At 38.7% G+C, this 23,361-nt stretch overlaps 2 long non-coding RNA genes across 7 annotated transcripts in view, besides 1 other annotated feature; one reads left to right on the top strand and one right to left on the bottom strand.

Moving 5' to 3' along the window:
* The window catches only part of LINC02248 (long intergenic non-protein coding RNA 2248), a 94,817-nt gene that overhangs the window by 61,387 nt on the left and 10,069 nt on the right, over positions 1 to 23,361 (bottom strand). The gene's annotated exons all lie outside the window — the stretch shown is intronic.
* LOC105370740 (uncharacterized) overlaps positions 1 to 23,361 on the top strand; it is a 74,705-nt gene that overhangs the window by 49,652 nt on the left and 1,692 nt on the right. The window lies entirely within an intron of this gene.
* Positions 16,952 to 17,741: an enhancer, noted in NCBI's record as "H3K4me1 hESC enhancer chr15:26655893-26656682 (GRCh37/hg19 assembly coordinates)". NCBI's record gives its function as "activates a minimal SCP1, AML or CMV promoter by ChIP-STARR-seq in primed H9 embryonic stem cells {active_cell/tissue: H9 hESC(primed)}" and the evidence as "EXISTENCE:reporter gene assay evidence [ECO:0000049][PMID:30033119]".

The raw sequence follows: 23,361 nt of genomic DNA, 5'->3' as shown, positions 1-23,361 counted from the left end.
CACAAGTGAAAACTCTAAAATTAACAGGAACTCTACTAAAACCACTAAAGTTTCAATTTCAGAAATCAAAGAAGAGATCCTTTTGCATTTCGCTTTTTCCTGTGTTGGTGCTGAAGTCAAGGGAAAAAGACTGCAGAGTAAGCTGAACAGGAGCTATTCAAATTGTTTAATGGCAGTGATAATTAATGACCTACCCTGTTATCTTACAAAGCTGGTATGGAAAGCAAGTCATATTAATAGCCATATTAACAAAGTCTACATGAAAATTTAAATATATTATCATTTGCATAGAGGAATAAAAAATATGAGAACATAGGACCTCTTAAAGGAGCTATAATTTTTCTTTATAAATATTGAGAAAAATTGGGGAAACTGCAATATCCAACCACAACTGGTATGTTAAATGCGTTTATACAAGAGAGCCACTTAATGGGATTATTTGGATATATACATTTTTAACAGCAAAATGTTTTTATAATATAATAAGTGAAAATAATCACTTTACCAAGCAAGATATATATAGAAGAATTCCATTTTTAAAAATATGTATTCTACAAAAAATTTGCCAGGCGTGGTGGCGGGCTTCTGTAGTCCCAGCTACTTGGGAGGCTGAGGCAGGAGAATGGCCTGAACCCGGGAGGCGGAGCTTGCAGTGAGCTGAGATTGCGCCACTGCACTCCAGCCTGGGTGACAGAGACTCTGTCTAAAAAAAAAAAAAAAAAAGTATTTTAATACAAAAGTATATCTGTATCTATATCCATATCTATATGTACAGAGGGGCAGGAAGGCCTGAAGCATGAACATAAATGTATGCATATGGTGCTACATTTTTGGTGTTGCATTCTTTCGTTTAGTTTTTGATTTTCCTAATTTTCTAATCCAATTAACACATATTGCCTGTGTACCAAAAAACAAAGGAAGGAGGGTATCCACTAAAAGAATAGTGAGAAAGACCGTGGCAACTATTTCTATCCAATTTCTCTTCAAAACCCAAAACAAACAAAAATCAACTAACAACACATAATTATACACATCAATAAGAAAAAGAAATGCAACTAAAAAAAATTCCACAAAAATCGTAACTAGAAGTTTGGGAGCACTAAAAACTCTAAAATACTTGTAAGTAAAACTTAAACACCAAATTCAGCAGAGCTGTAGCTGAAGCTTCCGCTTGCAGGCATTTGGGGCAAACAGGAGGAATCTGATTAAACCTGTGAAGGAGAGAGGAAACAAAAGAGAGCCTAAGATGGAACAGAAATCACAGCCTGAAGTACAGCCCTAGATCACAGAATTGATTTCAGGGAGGAGATTTAAAATTCCATGGGGTCTGAGATAATAGCCCCAAACATGCATGCATTGCTTCTGGAGGTAGGAAGTGGATAAAAATGTTGAAAAGGAAGATGAGCCCTGTGGGTATGGGGTGGTAAAGAAGAACAGTTTAAGAATTTAACAGACAAAAGAAAAAATAGAAAGGACTCATAGTCCATTCCTTCCTATGCAGGCAAGAGTTAATTCAACAGACCTAGGTTGTTCAAACCTTGCACATTCCCACCGCACCACCCCTCTCCAAAAAAAAAAAAAAAAAAAAAAACCCTGTTTTAAGAACTGGCCCTTGGCTACATCCTTGGAGATGAGCTCTGAGCCCTAGGAATATTCGGCCTGATAAGAGTGATTTGGTATGCCTGAGGCCTTGTGCCACACTGTGTAAGTTTGATCAGGTATTTTATGCTAATAACTGTGGCTTATGGCGATTGCCTGTTTTTGCTCTGGGGGGCTGGAGTCTGGGTAGCAGAGGTATGTAATGCAGTTGCTGCATGGCTACATAACTAACCTCCAATAACAACCCTGGACTCAAGGCTCAGGTGAAGTTCCCTGATCGGTACACTTTGTACCTGTTGTCAGCCATCATTGCTGGAATAGTTAGCTGCATCAGCATGCCTTTACTGGAAAGGACACCTGGAAGCTTGCACTCGATTTCTCTTGGACTTTTCCCCATGCATCGTTTCCCTGTGTTAATTTTAAACTACAATTTTGCTTTATTAAACTGTAACAAACATATAGCTAGACTAAGAAGAGAGAAGACAATAAATAAATGAAATCAGAAATAAAAGAGAAGACAATATAACTGATACCACAGAAATACAAAGGATCATAAGAAATGACTAAGAAGAATTACATGCCAAAAAACAGATAACATAGAAGAAAGAAATACATTTCTGAATGCATACAACTACCAAGACTGTACCATAAAGAAACAGAAAATCTGAACAGAACAATAATGAGTAAAAAGATTGAATCAATAATAAAAAGTCTCCAATAAAAAAAAAAAGCCCCAGATCTGATGAGTTTACTGCTGAATTCTACCAAACATTTAAGGAAGAACTAATACCAATCTTTCTCAAACTCTTCCAAAAAATCAAAGACGGAATAATTTCAAACTCTTTTTACAAGACCAGCATTACCCTGATATCAAAGCCAGAAAAGAGCATTACAAAAAAAGAAAATTATAGGCCAATATCCTTGATGAACGTAGATGCAAAAATCCTCAACAACAAAATGCCAGCAAACTGAATTCAACAACACATTAAAAAGATCATTCACCGTGATCAAGTGGGTCCATCCTAAGGATGCAAGGATGGTTCAACATATGCAAATCAATAAGCATAATACAACATATTAATAAATCCAGGACAAAAATCATATGGTCATCTCATTAGATACAGAAGAAGCATTTGACAAAAATCAACATCCTTTCAGGATAAGTACTCTCAAATTAGGAGCAGAAGGAATGTGCTTCAACATAATAAAGGCCATATATGATAAGCCAACAGCTGACATTATATTCAATGGTAAAAAGTTGGTACCCTTTAATCTAAGATACAGAACAAGAGGATGCCTACTTTCATGACTTTTATTCAACATAGTATTAGAAGTTTTTGGCAGAGCAATTAGGCGAGAAAAAGAAATAAAAGGCATCCAAATAGGAAAGGAAGAAGTGAAACTGTCACTGCTGACACATAATCTTTTATTTAGAGACCCCTGAAGATTCCCCCAAAAAACTGTTAGAACTAATAAAAAAATACAATAAAGTTGCAGAATATAAATTCAACACACAAAAATCAGTAATGTTTCTATATAATAAAGACAAACGATCTGAAAAGATAATAAAGAGAACAATCCCATTTATAACAGCTGCAAATAAAATAAAATAAAATAAAATAGTTATGAATAAATTTAACCAAGAAGGTGAAAGACCAGTACAGTGAAAAGTATAAAACAGTTATTGAAGAAATTGAAGAAGACACAAATAAATGGAAAGTACTCCATGTTCATGTATTGGAAGAATTAATATTGGTAAATTGTCTGTAGTATCCAAAGTAATCTACAGTTAATGCAATCTCCATGAAAATTCCAATATAACTTTTCATAGAAATAAAAAAAATCTTATAATCCATATGGAACAGCAAAAACCCCTGACTAGCCAAGACAATCTTGAGCAAAAAGAACAAAGCTGGAGGTATCATACTACCTTATTTAAAATTGTACTACAGAGTGATTATAATTGAAAGAACATGATACTGGCATAAAAATAGACACATCAGGCAATGGAACAGAATAGAGAGCCCAGAAATGGACCCACACTTGTGAAGTCAATTGATTTTCAACAAAGGTGCCAAGAATGTATGATAGAAAAAGAATAGTCTGTTCAATAAATGGTATTGGGGAAAACTGCATATCTATATGCAGAAGAATGAAATTGGATCCTTATCTCATACCCTATATTTGAATAACTCAAAATGGATTAAAGACTTAACATAAATACCTGAAACTATAAAACTACTAGAAGAAAACATAAGGAAAAAGCTATATAACATTGGTCTGGGCAATGAGTTTTTAGATTTGACCTCAAAAGTACAGGTAGCAAAAGCAAAAAATAGACAAATGAAGTTACATCAAAACAAAAAGATTCTGTACAATAACAACAAAAAAAACAGAATGAAGAGATCATCTATGAATTAGAAGAAAATATTTGCAAGCCATACATCTAATAAAAAATCCAAACATATAAACAATGCAAACAACTGTATAGAAATAAAGAAAACCCAATTTAAAAAGTGGGCAAGTGATCTGAAAAGACGTTTCTCAAAAGAAGACATCTAAATGGCCAACAGATCCATGAAGAATGCTCAACATCATTAATAATTAAGGGAATGCAAATTAAAACCACAATGAGATATTTCCTTACACTTGTCGGAATGGCTATTATCCAAAAGACAAAAGATAAGGAATGTTGACAACCATGTGGGGAAGAGGGAGCTCTTGGACACTGTTGATAGAATATAAATTAGTATAGCCATTACTGAAAACAGTAGGGAGTTTCCTCAAAAAAATAAAACTAGAACTCCTATATGATCCAGCAATCCCACTTTTGGGTGTTTAACCAGAAGATTTGAAATCAGTATGTTGAAGGTATTTCTGCATTCCCATTTTCATTGTAGCATTATTCAGAATAGCTAAGTTATGGAATCAACCTCTGTCCATCCCCAGGTGAATGGATAAAAACAATGTGGTGTATATACATAATGGAATACTATTCACCCTTAGAAAAGAAATAAATTATGTCATTTGCAGTAACATAGATGGAATTGGAGAACATTATGCTAAGTGAAATAAGCCAGGCACAGAAAGACAAATACCCAATGCTTTCACTTACACATGGAGTCTAAAACAATCAACCTCACAAAAGCAGAGAGTAGAATGGTTGTCACCTGAGGGTGGGGTAGGAGGAATAGGGAGATATTGGTCAAAGAGTACAAAACTTCAGTTAGAAAAGAGAAATAACTGGTTTTTGTTGAGATTTATTGTGTAGTGTGATAAATGTAGTTAACAGTGTATCCTATATTACAAAATTGCTAAGAGAATACATTTCAAAAGTTCTTACTGCAAACAATGATAAGTATTTGAGGTGATAGATATGTTAATTAGATTAATTTAATTATTCCACATTGTAGTCATGAGTCATAACATCACTTTGTACCTCATAAATATATACAACCATAATTTGTCAATTTTCAATTTCAGAAAATAAGGGGGAATAAAAAGTATCAGAGACAAAAGAGTTGAAATAGAAAATGGGTACAGGAGATCCTGCCTTCTTATAATTGCAATCCCTGAATATCAAAAACAAAAAGATAGAATAGAACCAGTATTTAAAACTATAATCCAAGGTCATTTTTAGAAAGAAGACTGGAGTCAACATACTGAAAAAAGCTTCAAGGTACATGGACAAACTAACCCAGAACGATTAACTGTAAGACATATCTTAAAATGTTCAGACTTTAAAATGAAGAAAAAAAGAAATCTCAGGGCCTCCAGGAAAAAGACCAAATAACCTACAAAGACAGAAGGGGCAGGCGCCAGACGTTCCAAAAGCAACACACAACTCAAGGCAATAAAGGTGAAGCATTTTTAAGACACCCCAGAAAATAAAGTGTGAACAAAGGATTTATATCCAGTCAAGCTGTCTTTTAAACAGTAAGGCTATAGAAGAAAGGTTTTAAATAGGTAGGCGCTCAGAGAATACTGAACTCATGAACCCCTCTCCAAGGAGCCAAGTTCATCCGGCCAAAGCATGACTGGGGAAACTTCGTCAAAAGGACTGTTAACTATGAGATGTTTAAAGGGTACTCTTTTCATCTTTGTACTTCCAGCCCTGAGATTAGCACCTGGACAGGGCAGTTTATCCCACTTTTACTGTACAACGGAGGTTTTAAGAGGAAAGAAAGAAATCTTGTAAACCCTCCTACATGTGGGATTTTACTAGGCTTAGCTGTGGGGCGTGAGAAGACCTCGCTACTGGAGAAATACGTATAAGAGGAAGATAGGAAATGAATTTACAGGAACTAACCTAACCATGGAACCAACAGCAACAGTAAGCAGTGTGGGGGGCAAGCAATGCTGGGTCCAAGCCAGTACCAAGACTCTTTGGCAGCTAAAATATCAGGAGAAAGAAGAATCCGATTCAGGCAACAATTGGTCCACATTCTTTAAGGCAAAGTTGGCTCAGCTGAGTAGCTGCTGCCCCTTCAAATGGTCAGGGGCTTTCTCCTTTGCTGGAGAGCCCACTACTCACTACTGCATCCCTAACATAAGGCTAGATGCCAGCTCGTGTGTGTCATTCTTCTTTTCCAGTTCTTCTGACGCTTCCCTAATGTGAGTTCTCTCTCTGGCACCTGTATGCACTTGAGAAAAGAGTTCAAAACCCTTACTAAAATGTAGAATGTTCCATTTGTACAGAGCTAGTAACAAGCTTACTCTTACTTCAATGTGCTGAGGTTTCATATGGCTTTTAAAGCATTGATATGGTGTGTAACTGAAGTCAAAGACTCGACACATTCTCAAAGAGAATTAAAGAGCTTAAAATTTAGTTCTACTATCTTTCTGGGAATTGTAAAGCAGTTCATTCAGTAAAAAAACTGATAAAGCATAGCTGTTGAAGTTCATCCAAAGCTTTTGACACTTCTAGTTCCATTTTTAGAGGTATCACTATCATCAATATGATATGAATCCTTTCACACCTTTCTCTAAACACATGCACACACTCATATATGTATATATAGTGTGTTTATGTGTATGTATATAATATGTATATATCCCCTCTGAAAATATATAACATCCATACGCATACTAACACAATGTTGAACAAAACCTCATTAAAAAAAGAGAGTATATGAAGTTCGAAACACAGGCAGAATTAAATAAAGTGTTTAGGGATACACACTTAGGCAGTAAAACAAAAAAGAACAAGAAAGTAATTACCAGAAAATCAGGATAGCAGTTAACTTTTAGGAGAAATAGGTGAGGGGCCGGTGTGGGGGTGGAGGAGTAATTGGTAGTAAACACTGGTGGTTTCCAGGTTGGTGGCAATATTCTATTCCATGACCTGGGAAATATTCCCACAGGTGTTGACTTTGTGATAATTAGTACAATGTTAGTGCAATGGCTACCTTTATTTTGAACACTTTATTGTGTATACGATATACAAAGAGTCAGTAAGAATGGTGCAATTGTAAAGAGCCCTGCTAACAAAAAGGAGCCAGGGGTCACGCCTTCTCAGACATGCCCTTCCCCACTGGCAGACACTGAGCAGATGGCCAGGAAGTCCTGGGAAGGGGATCCTGCCACAAGTGCCCAGCCCAGCAAGCCTTGCCTCCAGTGGCAGAATTAAGACTTCCCTCCCCCATGGAGAGACACCAGGTGGCCAGGAAGTGCTGGCCCAGAAATTTCAGCCACAACAATCACCCAAGAGAGCCTCTGGAAAGCCTCTGTCTCCTGGCCTGAGACTCCACTCCCTCCCACAGAGACCACTGGGGGTGAGCAGCACTGCAATGGGAATCCCACTGGAGCAAGTGGGCTGAGAAGTCATTTCTTCCCTCAGGCCAGAGACTCCCTTCTTCTCTGGGAAGTCCTGCCTGGGGAGGGCTCTCTGTGACTTCAGAAAGCACCAGGGAATCCCATGGGAACCACAGCAGCACCCCATAAACCAAGCCAACCGGAATAGCACTGGAAAGGCTTTGAAAATGTTACTTTCACTGGAACCACGGCCCACAAAAATAGGCCACGACCTCTGTACTGAACAGTGAGGCTGCCTGCCAATGAAGAAGCTAAGATAGCATCTACGGTCTCAAAATATAATATCTCAAATGCCAGGACACAACTGAAGATCACTTGTCTTGCCAAAAGCCAGGAAAGTCACAACCGGAATAAGAAGACAATCAGCTGATATCAGCAACAAGATGACTTAGAAGCTGGAATTATCTGGCAAGGAATTTAAAGTAGCCAACATAAAATGCTTCAATAAGCAATTACAAAATTATCTTGAGGCAAATTTTAAAAATAAGAATTTGTCAGCAGAGAAATAGAAGTTATAAAAAAGAACCAAGTGGAAATTATAGAACTGAAGAATTTAATAATTTTTTTAATGCTGGCAGATGTGCTTAAAAGTAGACTGGAGATGACAGAGGGTAACATCAGTGTATTTGAAAAAAGATCAAAAGATTCACTCAATCTGAACAAAAGAAAGAAAGACTGGGGAAAAAAAGTGTAGAGCCTTTGGGCTTGTGGGATAATAACAAAAATTCCAGCATTTGTATCATTGGAATTGCAGAAGAAAAGAATGAGAGTGGAACTGAAAGAATATTTAAAGAAATAATAGCTGAAAACTCCCCAAATTGGTAAAAGACATAAACCTAGAAACTCAAGAAGCTTAGAGAATCCCAAATAGGATAAATCCAATGAAATCAACATAAAAACACATCATAATTTAGACTTTGGCTCATTTTTAATTCAATTGTTTTCTTATTGTTGAATTTTGAGGATATTTTGTTTATTCTGGATACAAGACCTTTGTCAGATATGTGATTAGCAAACACATTCTCCTAGTGTGTGCCTTGTCTTCTTATTCTCTTAACAGTATCTTTGGCAGTGGAAACTTTTTTCTTTTTTTTTTAACTTTTAGGTTCGGGGTACATGTGCAGGTTTGTTATATAGGTAAATTTGTGTCATGGGGGTTTGTTATACAGATTATTTCGTCACCCAGGTACTAAGCCTAGTACTCATTAGTTATTTTTTTCCGCTCCTTTCCCTCTTCCCATCCTCCACCCTCACCACTAGACCCCAGTGTCTGTGTTCTCTTGTGTCCATGTGTTCTCATCATTTAGCTCCCACTTATAAGTGAGAACATGTGGTATTTGCTTTTCTGTTCCTGCCTTAGTTTGCTGAGAATAATGACCTCCAGCTCCATCCATGTTCCTGCAAAATATATGATCTTGTTCTTTTTTATGACGGCATAGTATTATATGGTGTATATGTACCAAATTTTCTTTATCCAATCTATCATTGATGGGCATTTAGGCTGATTCCATGTTTTTGCTATTGTGAATAGCGCTGCAATGAACATTTGTGTGCATGTGTCTTTATGACAGAAGGATTTATATCTCTTTGGGTATGTATCTAGTAACGGGAAGGCTGGGTTGAATGGTAGTCCTGTTTTTAGCTCTTTGAGGAATCACCCTACTGCTTTCCACAATGGCTGAACTAATTTACACTCCCATAAACAGTGTATAAGCCTTCCCTTTTCTCCACAACCTGGAAAAGTTTTTAATTTTAGTAAAGTCTAATTGATCAATTTTTTCTTTCATGGGTTATGCATTTGTTGTCTTATCTAAAAACTTGTCACCAAACACAAGGTCATACTGATTTTCTCCTGCATTTTCTTCTATAAATTTCACAGCTTTGCATTTTAATTTAGGTCTATAATCCATTTTGGGTGATTTTTCTGTAAGGTATAGGGTCTATGTCAGGGCTCATATTTTTGTGTATGGATATTCGATTGCCCCAACACCATTTGTTGAAAACGCTGTCCTTTCCATTGAAGTGCTCTAGCACCTTTCTAAAAAAATCAGCCAACTGTATTTATGTGGGTCTGTTTGCACAGGGTCCCTGTTATGTTCCATTGATAATTGTGTCTATTTTTATAACCAATACCCTGCTGTCTTTAGTACTGTGGCTTTACAGTAAGTATTGAAATCGAGTAATGTGAATCCTCCAACTTTCTTCCTTTCTTTAAACATTGTGTTGGTTATTCAATTCATCAAGAGATGTGGGCTACTCAGGTTATCTATTTCCATGTGAGTCTGGTAGTTTGCATCTTTAGGGAAGTGGTCCTTTTATCTAAATTGTCATTATGGGATGAGAGTTGTTAATAGCTTTTATTATTATTTTAATTATTATTCTTTTAATAATTGGAATCAGTAGTAATTGGTAATTCATGCCTTCTGTATTTTACTTCTTGATTAGTCTGGGTAAAGAACTGTCAATTTTATTGATCTTTTCAAACAACCATCTTTTGGTTTCATGGAATTTCTTGATTCCTTTTGTTTTCAAGTTTATTGATTTTTAACTCTAATATTTATTATTTAGTTCCTTCTGCTTGTTTTAGGTTTAATTTGATCTTTTTTGTCTCTTATTACTAAGGTAGAAGCTTGGATTATTTATTTTAGATCTCTCTTATTTTCTAATATATGCACTTAATGCTACAAGTCCCTTCTAATCATGGTCTAAGCTGCATTTTATCAATTTTGATAAGCCACATTTTCATTTTCATTTAGTTTAAAATATTTTTTTAAATTTCTCTTCATACCCCTTTGACTCATAGATTGTTTAACTTCCTAAAATTTGGGAATTTTCCAGATATCTTTCTGGTGTGGATTTCTAGTTTAATTCTATTGAGCTATTAGATTGTATTTTGTATGATTTCTGTTGTTTTTAATGTATTAAGGTGTGTTTTAAACTCAGAGTATGGTCCATCTTGTTGAATGTCCTATGTGCACTTGTAAAGAATATGTATGCTGCTGATGTTGAAAGAAGTTTCTATAAATATCAGTTAGATCAAGTTGATTGATAGTACTGTTCAGATCATCTACATCCTTACTAATTTTCTGCTTTCTTGATTTATCAGTGACTGAAGTCTCCAAATATAATTGTGAAATTGTCTGTTTTTCTTTTTAGTTGTACAAGTTTTTGCCTCATATATTTTGGTGCTTGTTTTTAGGTGCATACACTTTAGGATTTTTATGTCTTCTTGGAGAATTGATCTCATTTATGATTATGTAACATCACTCTTCATGCCTGGTAATCTTCATTGTTCTCAGCTGTGTCTTAAAGCAATGTAACTATTCTGGCTTTCTTTTATTAGTGTTGGCATAGTATATGTTCCTCAATTCACTTACTTGTAACTCGTTTGAGTTTTACATTTAATGTGAGTTTTCTTAAGCAGTATATGGTTGGGTCTTTTTTATATATCCAATCTGACAATTTCTGTCCTTTATCTGGTATATTTTGACCATTAACGTTTAAAGTGGTAATGAATATAGTTGGATTAAAACCTGATATCTTAGTAATTGTTTTCTATCGCATTGTTCTTTTTTCTTCTCCCCATTTTTCTGCCTTTAGGGTTTTAAATTGCATATTTTATATAGTTTCTATATATAGTTTCTAGAAACTATATATAGAAACTATATATATAGACCCTATATATAGAAACTATATATAGAAACTATATATAGAAACTATATATAGAAACTATATATAGAAACTATATATAGAAACTATATATAGAAACTATATATAGAAACTATATATAGAAACTATATATAGAAACTATATATAGAAACTATATATAGAAACTATATATAGAAACTATATATAGAAACTATATATAGAAACTATATATAGAAACTATATATAGAAACTATATATAGAAACTATATATAGAAACTATATATAGAAACTATATATAGAAACTATATATAGAAACTATATATAGAAACTATATATAGAAACTATATATAGAAACTATATATAGAAACTATATATAGAAACTATATAAAATATAGTTTCTATTGCCTCCTTTCTTTATATATCAATTATACTTTATAAGTTTTTTGCAGTGATTGTTCTAGGGTTTATAGCATACATTTTAAAACAATCTAAGTCCACCTTCAAATAGCATTATTTCATGTGTAGTGCTAGTACCTTATAACAGAGCATTCCCAATTTCCCTTCTATCCCTTACGAAGTTATTCATTTCATTATTCTATATGCTGTCAACTTCAATATGTTAGTATTATTGCCTCAGACAGTTCTCTTCTAGCTCAATTAAGAATAGAAAAATAAAATATTTATTTTACTTTCATTTATTTCTTTTGATACTTTCTCTCTTTTGTGAGAACAAGTTTCTGACCTATGTCATTTTCCTTCTGCCTGAAGACATTTTAACATCTGTTGTATGGTAGGTCTACTTGTCAATGAACCGGATCAGATTTTCTTTGCTGAGAAATATTTTTCCTTCACTTTTAATAAAAATAAGATAAAAAATTTATTGGATATCAAATCCTATATTGGCAGGGTTTTTATTTTCTTAAATATTTTACTCCAATCTTTTCTTTCTTGGATGGTGTCTGCTGTTATTTGTATTCTTATTCCTCTGTAGATAGGTTGTTTTGTCCCTTTGTCTTCTTTCAAAATTTTGTCTATTTCTTTATGGCTTGAATATGTGTTTTCTAGTTTTTTTTTTTAATTTTATACTCTGCTTGTTATTCTGTGAGCTTCCTGAATCTGTGATGTGGTATCTGTCATTGATTTTGAAACTCCTTCGTCATAATTTCTTCAAAGATTTCTTCTGCCCCATTCTCTTTCTGCTCCTTCTGGTGCTCCAAAAATGTGCATGTCACACCTTTTCATATTGTGCCACAGTGCTGGGAACTTTTCTTCTGTTATTTGTATTTGTGTGTGTGTGTGTGTTTCCATTTGTGAACTATTGACCTATCTTAAAGTTCACTGATTTTTTTCTTCAGCTGTGTTGAGTCCACAGATGAGCCTGTCAAAGTTATTCTTCATTTCTATTACTTTTGATTCCTAGCATTTCTTTTTGATTTCTATAGCTTCCATCTCTCTGCTACCATTCCTATCTGGTCTTTTATGTTATTTACTTTTTCCATTAGTACCTTTACCATATTAGTCTTTGCCTTAGTTCATTTAGTGTTGCTATAAAGAAATAGCTGAGGCTGGGTAATTTATAAAGAGGCTTATTTGGCCCACGGTTCTGTAGGCTGAACAAGAAGCATGACACCAGCATCTGCTTCTGGTGAGGCCTCAGGCTGCTTCCACTCATGGTGGAAGGCAAACAGAAACTGGTCTATCTGGAGATCACCTGGTGTGGGGGGGAGAGGTGCCAGGCTATTTTTTTAATTTTTAATTTTTTGCAGGTACATAACTTATGGGATACCTGAGATACTTTGATATAGGCATACAATGTGTAATAATCACATCAGGGTAAATGGGCTATCTGCCACCTGAAGCATTTATCCTTTGTGTTACAAACAATTGAATTATACTTTTTTAGTTATTTAAAAATATACAATTATTATTATTGACTATAGTCATCCCATTGTGCTACTAAATACTAGATCTTATTCTTTCTAACTATATATATATATATTTTTTTTTTTTTTTTGAGACAGAGTTTCTCACTGTCACCAGGGCTGGTGTGCAGTGGCACAATCTCAGCTCACTGCAACCTCTGCCTCCCAAGTTCAAGCCATTCTCCTGCCTCAGCCTCCCAAGTAGCTGGGACTACAGGCATGTGCCACCATGCCCGGCTAATTTTTTAGTAGAGACAGGTTTTCACCGTGTTAGCCAGGATGGTCTCGAACTCCTGACCTCGTGATCTGCCTGCCTTGGCCTCCCAAAGTGCTGGGAATACAGGTGTGAGCCACTGCGCCCGGCCACTGTATTTTTATACCCATTAACTATCCCCACTTCCTCCACGACCACTTCCCCCAACTTCACTATCCTTTCCAGCCTCTGGTAACCATCCTTCTACACTCTATCCCCATGAATTCAATCGTTTGAATTTTTAGCTCCCACAAATAAGTGAGAACATGTGAAGTTTGTCTTTCTGTGAATGGCTTATTTCACTTAACATGATGACCTCCAGTTTCCTCCACGTTGTTGCAAATGACAGAATCTCATTCCTTTTTATCTTTTTATGACTGAATAGCACTCCATTATGTATATATACCACATTTTCTTTATCCATTCATCTGTTGATGGACACTTAGGTTGCTTTAAATCTTCTTTTTTTTTTTTTTTTGAGATGGAGTCTCGCCCTGTCACCTGGGCTGGAGTGCAATGGCATGATCTTGGCTCACTGCAACCTCCACCTCCTGGGTTCAAGTGATTCTCCTGCCTCAGCCCCCCAAGTAGCTGGGATTACAGGCACATGCCACCACACCTGGCTAATTTTTTGTATCTTTAGTAGAGATGGGGTTTCCCCATATTGGGCAGGCTGGTCTCGAACTCCTGACCTCAGGTGATCCACCCGCCTTGGCCTCCCAAAGTGCTGGGATTACAGGCGTGAGCCATTGCGCCTGGCCAGGTTGCTTTAAATCTTGGCTATACTATATAGTGCTGCAATGAACACTGGAGTACAGATATCTCTTTGATGTATTGATTTCTCCTCTTCAGCCTACATATCTAGCAATGAGATGGCTGGATCATATGGTAGCTCTATTTTTGTTTTTTTGAGGGCCAGAGTATATTTAACAACCAATTCTTGAGAGAACTAATAAAGAACTCACTCAACCCACCCATCATCAAAGAAAGCACTAATCTATTCATGAGGGATCCACTTCTGAGGCCCAAACACCTCCCACCTGGCCACACCTCCAATGTCTGGGATCAAGTTTCAACAAGAGATTTGGTGGGCACAAACCATATCCCAACTATAGCAGTCATAGTAATTTTAAATTCCTTGTCTGATAATTCTGACATCTGTGTCATATCTGAGCCTTGTTCTGATAATTACTTTGTGCCATCAGACTGTGTTTATTCTTGCCTATTGGCATGGCTTTTAATATTTATAGAAATTGGCCCATTTATTTTTTATTATTATTTTTTTTTGAGATGGAGTCTCACTCTTTTGCCAAGCTGGAGTGCAGTGGCGCAATCTCGGCTCGCTGCAACCTCCACCTCCCGGGGTACAAGCGATTCTCCTGCTTCAGCTTCCCAAATAGCTGGACTACAGGCACATCCCACCATGCCCAGCTAATTTTTTTGTATTTTTAGTAGAGATGGGGTTTCACCATGTTTCACCATGGTCTCGATCTCTGACCTTGTGATTTGCCTGCCTCAGCCTCCCAAAGTGCTGGGATTACAGGCATGAGCCACTGCACCTGGCCCAGAAATTGGCCCATGTTTTATAGAGTAACAATTACTGAGATGAATGCCTTTAGTGTGTAATTTGAATATCTGCTGGGCTGTGTTTCATGTTTGATGTAGGTATAGTAGCAGAGCCTTCAAATGATTCTACTGGGCTTGCTTTTTCTCTCCTTTTGGCTTTGGGGTTTCTCTTTGTACTGCTCCTTAGAGACTCTGTGTCTTGCAGCAATTTAAACTGCAATCCACTGTTATTAATGGAGGATTGTTGGTTTGACGGTATTATGTGAGGGAGAAAGGTATTCTCTGATCTTCTGATTACACGTCAGTCTTTTAGTGGGTCTGTGACTCAGGGATGTGTCCCTCAGAAATGTCTTAGGAGTGGCCCCCAAGGTGCTGAGCATTCCCAGGCTATTTTCTTTATGCCCTCTCCTCTATTGACTGTGGCTTTTTTTTCCTTTTGGTGTGACAGGAAGGCTGGAGCAGCCTAGATGGGGCAGAGGTTTCTTCCCCCAACAAAAACAAGGTTTCAGAATTGCCATTTGTTTGTGGAAGGATTTGGGAGGGTTCAGGATGGCTAGTCCTCCCACCCCCTGCCAGGTCATGCTGAGAGCTCTCCCAGATCCTCCTGTGAAAACTTGGTAGAGATCCTAGAGGAAAAGCCTGGGAAAATGCAGGAGTTCCCCTCAGACTGAGGGAGCTCCTCAGCTTCTGGGAAATCATCTGAATTGTTATTAAGTGTTCCTGCTCACATCTGGCATCTGATGCCTTCTGCTCCAGGTAAGCAACTCTTGAGTCCTGTATCTCTTGGGATATGCCAGATTCTCCTGATTTTGTAGTGGTGATTTTTCTTGTGACCTCAGTGCTTTACGTGGTTGAACAAAAGTTGGAAGGCCTCCACTGCTTTTTGTGACACTCTGCTGGCTTTCTTCCAACCACTTACGCCATTATTTTTCAACCAATCTTTCTTTTGCCTTATCTTTCTTGGTGCCATGTAAAGGCTGGTGTTCCTCAGGGTTCTGCCTTTGGATCTCGTCAGTATGAGAAAACATTTACTTTGTCCAACATATGCACCCCCATGACTTAATCCATGATTTATTGCAAAGAAAAAAATTGCAGATTTCTCTAACTCTGTCCTCCTCCTTTAATTTTAGACACAGTGTTTTAGAGTCGTCTCAACCTCTTACAAACTGTTTGAGCATCCTACCCTAAACTGAGGTTGTAATGTTATCCTCCCTATCCTCAGTCCCCACATACTTCTGATCCGTAGTCAGACGCGTTATCCATTGCGCCACTGGCCCACGGTTAAAGTCCCCACATACTTCTTCCCTTAGCACTGCCATCTCCCATTCAGGTACCAACCCTACCTGTGAGTCAGCCTTCCTCTTTGATCCCACATATCATGTCAGTTGCCATGTTTCAATCCGTCACCACTACTACTTTCTCCAGTTTCAAACCTCAATAGGATTTTTCCCTGTGCCAAAGTAATAATCCTCTAAAATGCTTTTCTTACTTGTCAATCACTTCTGCATAGGCTCTGCAGTTATTTCAGAATTGTACAAATTAGATAGTGCTCTTCTCCTTTGTAATATTCTTCAGGACTTTTTTTGAGACAGAGTCTTGCTCTGCCACCTAGGCTGGAGTGCAGTGGCGTGATCTCGGCTCACTGCAACCTGGTTGCTTTTAAGATAACTTCTTTCACAAGGCTCTTCATTATCTGGTCCCACTGTTCTCTTCTCCCCCAGACACAGCCTCACATGACTCTTCAGCCTCAGTCTCATCAAGCTTCTTTAGCAGGTCGTGTTTGTTCAAGCATTTCACCTGCTCCATCCTCATCTGGACAGCACCTCTGCCTGGGGTCCTGGCTACCACTACCAGTCCCTCAAGATTCAGCTCTCAGGTGGCCTCTTTAAGAATGGCTTCATTGGTTTTGGGTTAGGAGTGCCCCTTCTGTGCCCATAAATCACATGGGTGATTTTCTTTTCTTTTTTTTTTTTTTTTTGAGACGGAGTCTCGCTCTGTCCCCCACGCTGGAGTGCAGTGGTGTGATCTCGGCTCACTGCAAGCTCTGCCTCCCTAGTTCACGCCATTCTCCTTGCCTCAGCCTCCCAAGTAGCTGGGACTACAGGTGCCCGCCACCACACCTGGCTAATTTTTTGTATTTTTAGTAGAGACAGGGTTTCACCATCTTAGCCAGGATGGTCTCCATCTCTTGACCTTGTGATCCGCCTGTCTCAGCCTCCCAAAGTGCTGGGATTACAGGCGTGAGCCACCGTGCCTGGCCTGGTGATTTTCTTATTTATGCCCTCAGTAATCTTTGAGCATATTGCGGACAGGGGCTATGTCTGCTGGGCTCATGGTACATGCTCAGTAAATATTTGTAGAATGAATGGATGGATAAATGGGAAAACGGCACTTTCATTTATTCGAGGGTCACCTACCGCCACTCATTTTATATTACCCATGGTGCTGCCAAATCTTTTATTCTTATAGGATTAACATTTTGCTTGCTTTTTTTTCCTACCTTAAATCCCCAGGAAGCAGCTCTGGAGTGAGGCTGTAACGACAACGTGCTTGGGGCCTGCCACTTGCTCTGTTGGGCATGTGGCCTGATGCATTGGAGGTGGTCACAACCCTCCAGCTTCCTGCACAGCCTGTGGTGCACGGACGAAGACCATGCAGATTAGTCTCTTTCCCTCACTCTGTGACTGTGATCATCTAGTTCATTGCTCTGTGTCATCATCATCTGTGACCCCAGAATGATGGTGGTAGCAGATTGCACAGCCTTTCTTTTGATGTGGAAAGGAAGAGGATACATCCACAGAGCATTAATCCTATCCCTTTAAGTGTGGCATCTGAAAAATGTCACCTGAAATGTGGACAAAGAAGAAATACTTTAATCTGCATATGCTTATTACTTCTTCGGGCCATGTCAATTAACTTTTACCAGAATGCCAGATTCTATTACAAATAATAACTATTGTCTAAATACCACAAGAGAGACATTTGTCAGGAAAAATACTTGAGCTCCAGGAACTGATTATCTTTACATAACAATGATTATGTGGAAGGTTGTGTGATCCGAGGGCACGCGGAGGGAGAAGTGGCCAAGGCAGGCCTTGTGAGGAGCGTAGCCAGGTGCTATGCCAGCTGCACATACAGGAAAGTGCCATTCGTTTGTGTGCACAATTTTGCTCTATTTCTTTTTTTTTTTTTTTTTTGAGATGGAGTCTCACTCTGTCATCCAGGCTGGAGTGCAGTGGCGCAATCTCAGCTCACTGCAAGCTCCGCCTCCCGGGTTCACGCCATTCTTCTGCCTCAGCCTCCTGAGTAGCTGGGACTACAGGCGCCGGCCACCACACCCAGCTAACATTTTTTTTTTGTATTTTTAGTAGAGACGGGGTTTCACTGTGTTAGCCAGGATAGTCTCGATCTCCTGACCTCATGATCTGCCCGTCTCGGCCTCCCAAAGTGCTGGGATTACAGGCATGAGCCATGATTCCCAGCCTGCTCTATTTCTTGAAAGCAGGGTAGACTGCAAGTATTTTACAGCACAGTTGCTATTTAGGGTAGCATAGATGCAGGATTTCTATTTGGGTTTTATTCCTATTCCTATCATTACTAGTTATATGATAGGACAGGTAGGTATTTTACAGGTAACTGAGATTGAGGGACATTAATGTGTTCGAGCTGGTGTCTGAGTACTAACAGTTCCAGGATGCCACAGCTGAGGAGGAGGGAGAGTTTGAGGAGGAGTGTGCCGAGGAGGAGGTGGCCTAGGTCCTTCCTTTACCAGGTAAAGAGTGGAGGCAGTGTGGATTCTTTACTTATGTGTTCTGATAGCCATGTGTTCTGTGTTCTGATAGCCATGTGTCACTGTGCTTCACATCACATCCTTTATGTCTTCACATCACATCCTGTCGCATTTTAAAGCATTTTCATAGTATGCGGTTTTGGCTAATAAAGCATTCCTTTTTTTTTTTTTGAGATGAAGTCTGGCTCTGTCACTCAGGCTGGAGTGCAGTGGCGCCGCCATCTAGGCTCACTGCAACCTCCACCTCCCGGGTTCAAGTGATTCTTCTGCCTCAGCCTCCCCAGCAGTTGGGACTACAGGCATGCGCCACCACACCCAGCTGATTTTTGTAATTTTAGTAGGGATGGGGTTTCACCATGTTGGCCAGGCTGGTCTCGAACTCCTGACCTCAGGTGATCCGCCCCCTCTTGGCCTCCCAAAGTGCTGGGATTATAGGAGTGAGTCACGGTGCCTGGCTAAAACATTCTTATAGAAAAAAAAAAAAAAGAAAGAAAAAAAGTTAATGTCCCTGCGACTCAGTTATCTGTAAAATGGGGAGATAATAATACCTGCCTTCTACAGTTGTTATGGGATTAAATAGGGATATCACCAGTGAAGTTCTTAGAACAGAGCCTATACATATTATGCATCCAATACATGTTAACTATCATCATCATCATCATCTTTGTTATTTTTACAACACAAAGAGTCCTGGCAATTTGGGAACATAAAACAATCCCGGTTTGGCTCCTCTACATAGGTCTGCACTGTGAGCTGAATACTGTTAAGCATAATATGGCCGATCTTTACCTGCAGTCTTGGAGTTTCGCTTTGGTACCCTGCTGTCATTACTAAGTTACATACTCTCCATGAATGCATCCCAACCCAAGGAAAAAATGTTGCTTCTTTCATTTATTCTAGGGTCACCTGTCACCACTCATTTCATATTACCCATGGTGCTGCCAAATCTTTTATTTCTTATGGGATTAACATTTAGAAAAACCTGGCACTCCAATTTTTGATACCATACTCTCTGTGAAGAGTACATGCTTGGTCTGTATACCTTTCTGTGGACATGAATTTTAGACATTCTCACTGAAGCAGGAGTTGCCCCAACCACTTTTAAGCCTCTGCTGCATAGCATGGTCTAAGGCCAGAGGAAAACGTCAGGCAGGAGGCATCACTGTTTCATTCTTTGTGAAGGATAACCCTGTTCTCTTTTGAATATATTGATTAATTAAGAAACAAAATAAGTCCTGTTTTAAAATCTAGTGAGAATATTTCTAGTGGGGTTTGGATGTAACCATAGTCCCTTAAGTTAAGTCCAAGCAGTTCTTCTCAAAAGGCTAATCTTTCTCCTGAGGCTGACTCTTGTCTGTCTTAAGAAATCTAGGGCCAGCATGGTGGCTCACGCCTGTAATCCCAACACTTTGGGAGGCCGAGGCGGGTGGATCACAAGGTCAGGAGTTCAAGACCAGCCTGGCCAATATGGTGAAAACCTGTCTCTACTAAATATGCAAAATAATTAGCCAAGCATGGTGGCGCATGCCTGTAATCCCAGCTACTTGGGAGGCTGAGGCAGGAGAATTGCTTGAACCAGGGAGGCGAAGGCTGCAGTGATCCGAGATCGCACCACTGCACTCCAGCCTGGGTGACAAAGTCAGACTCCGTCTAAAAAAAAAAAAGAAAAAAGAAAAAAGAAAAAGAAAGAAAGAAATCTGACAGTTTCCGGGTAAACTCTCCTTGGTATTAATATTACAGAATAGAGCATAGAGGGTGCTGCATGAGGATACTCCACTTTTCTCTGTATTTTGATACATGCTGGCAAGTCTCCTTTTTTAGGTACATCAGAACCAATCAGTCTTTTTAGAGTGTCTTGTGACAAGGCTGCAATTCAAAGTGCGCAAGCCTGGTAATGTATGTGGAAGCTCCTGTTGTGGAAACTCCTCTTATGAAAGCTGTCAATCAATCCTGTTATTGGACAGCTTATATGTTGGAAAGACTGGGTTTTGGTTGAGAGTCTCATCAAGTCAGATAGTTACTGCATTTACTGACATTTTAGTGGTTACGGTTAAAGGAAGTTCCATCGGTTTTTGAATTGAAAAAAATTATATATATACACATAAACATATTTGCAATAAAAGCAAGACTGATTGCTATAGGTTCCCAGAAATACACTTTTTGAATTAACTTTTAAAAATAAAATCATATTAAGGAATTCTGATAGAGTAACTGAAAAGTCCTGATATAAGCAGAACATAGCTCTAAATCAAACTTGATTTATAGTTGATAATAGAAACCAATCATGTACTAGGAAAGGAGATGTGCTGAGAAGGCAGTTCCATCTCCTTTTTTTTTTTTTTTTTTTTTTGCTCAAGGTATCTCACTTGATTGTGCTATTTTCAGAACGACATTCTGCTTACAGCCGAGGAACTCAGATGAACTAAGATACGGTGTGCATGATACCCTTGCCTTCACTTCATCACCTTCTTGCTATTGACACCCTTATCTTCTCCATGGAAGGTAATTCCATGGAGACAATACCTAGTTCCTGGTCTCTGTACATATACTAATGGAAGAGATTATGACTGTGGTATGCTAATGAAAAATTGCCAAGGGTTTTTGGGTGTTGCAATTTAATCTCTTGATCCATTTAGTTGCAGAAAAGCTAAATGTACTATTCCTGGGTGCACATTAGAATCACTAGGGGATCTTTGAGAAAATATGCAGACTTCTCCCTACCTCGGACATTCTGATACAGTGAGGGCCCGGGCATAAGCATTTTTAGAGTTCCCAGGGGATTCTGTTGCAGAGTCATGGTTGAGAATTTTGCTAACTGTGAAAAGATATGCACAACAGTTTTTATTGACACTCTCCTAATTCCTATAGCTTGGTCCTATATACCTCCTGAATCTGAGGATTTTAAAATGATGGATTCCTCTAAAAGACTATGGTACAAAATTGTAGCCTGTAAGATGTGCTAAGTCTAAATAGCCTTGAGGAATTATCTTAGAAATAATGTTCTACAAGAATTGAGATGTACTGCCATGGTTACCAGTGTGAAAGACAAAAGAGTAAATCATCTGTTTCATTAGTGACAAGTGACTTTCCATTAAAATGCCTGGCATTTTTACTACTTATCTGAAAACAGATGTAAGCATGCAATCTTCTGACATTCAGGTACAACTGCACCTCCCAGGCTACTAAGAAACATCTCAAATTCAGGGATCCATTTCAGAAAATTTGGCAAGTTAGATACATTTTTGCCAATCCCATTGCAAAATAAATTTTATGCAGGCAAATAATGTGTTTAGATTAACACTGTCACTTCTGTTCTCAAATGTCTTTATATAAGTGTGACCACTGAGAAGGCAGCAGAGCCTGGCAGGCTACTCAGTGACCACATGGCAGGAGGTGAGCTCTGCTCAGAATCTCAGGACGAGCAACGTGGGCCACCCGACTCTCCCTGGAGAAAGAGGAGAGCCGCTGCAGGGCTACATTTCTCATCTACAAGAGGCTTCTGAGGCTCCAGTGAAATCACATGTGTACAATCACGATGAGGGAAATAAACCATACACAAATGGAATGTAAAAATAGGGAATTTCCACCACCTTGTAGAATCACTGGGGCCAAAGACAATGGCTTTGTACAATGCAGGAACCTTTGCTTGGCTCTCTGGTTGAACAAGTGCTTAACGACTGTGCTGTCCAGGGTGATGAGGCTAATGCATGAAAAAGTATAATGAAATAAGAAATGGAATCGAGTATAGTCTTTCAAAGAGTTGGAGAAAATTCAAGCATCCCTTGGTCATCCAGCTTTGAGTAGCCAGGAGGAAGCCTTTCCTTGTCTGCCTGCCTCCCTTCCCCCATGTGCCTGGCATACATGAGTAGCCTCTCATTTGTCTGGGCCAGAGTTTTGGTTACACATGGGAGAGGGTTTAGTTCTTTCTGATACCCTTTCTGCCATAATAAACAGAAGTCAACTGCTTTACATATCCATTAATATTTTCCTTCCTCCTTCCTTCCCTCGTTCGTTCGTTTGTTCCTTCCTTCCTTCCTTCCCCTCTTTCTCTCTTTCTCTCTTTCTTTCTCTCTTTCTTAGATGAGTCTCACACTGTCGCCCGGACTGGAGTGCAATGGCACTATCTTGGCTCACTGCAACCTCTGCCTCCCAGGTTCAAGCAATTCTCCTGCCTCAGCCTCCCAAGTAGCTGGGATTACAGGCACCCACCACCACACCCAGCTAATTTTTTGTATTTTTAGTAGAGACGGGGTTTCACTATGTTGGCCAAGCTGGTCTCAAACTCCTGACCTCGTGATCTACCCGCCTCGGCCTCCCAAAGTGCTGGGATTACAGGCGTGAGCCACCGTGCCCGGCCAATATTTTCTATAATGTGACATAGCTATGCTGATCACAACAGGAATTGCTAAGCTCATTTCTGTAATTTCAAGTGGAAGTATCATTCTTCCACATGACAAATAGCTATTCAGAATTACTATATATTAGACACTGCTCTAAATACCAAAAATATTTTGTGACATAGAAAACTAAAGGTCAGACAACAAAATCTTATATGATTACATGAGATTCACTTCCTGATTTAACAAAGTATAGTATTACAGGTTCTAACCCTGGCTTTGCTTAATCTTTCTTTTCAATACACTTCTAGCCCCTTCCACCCCATCTTATCCTAAGCCGTTAAGGAGAAAGGATAGAAGTATTACATATCAAACAGTCTAATCCATCCTGCATCTTCCGCACTGCTATTGTGTCTCTACTCTACTAAATTT

The sequence above is a fragment of the Homo sapiens genome, chromosome 15, assembly GCF_000001405.40.
Source record: "Homo sapiens chromosome 15, GRCh38.p14 Primary Assembly".
Taxonomy (NCBI): Eukaryota; Metazoa; Chordata; class Mammalia; order Primates; family Hominidae; genus Homo; species Homo sapiens.
This window is presented reverse-complemented; position numbering and strand designations above follow the sequence as displayed.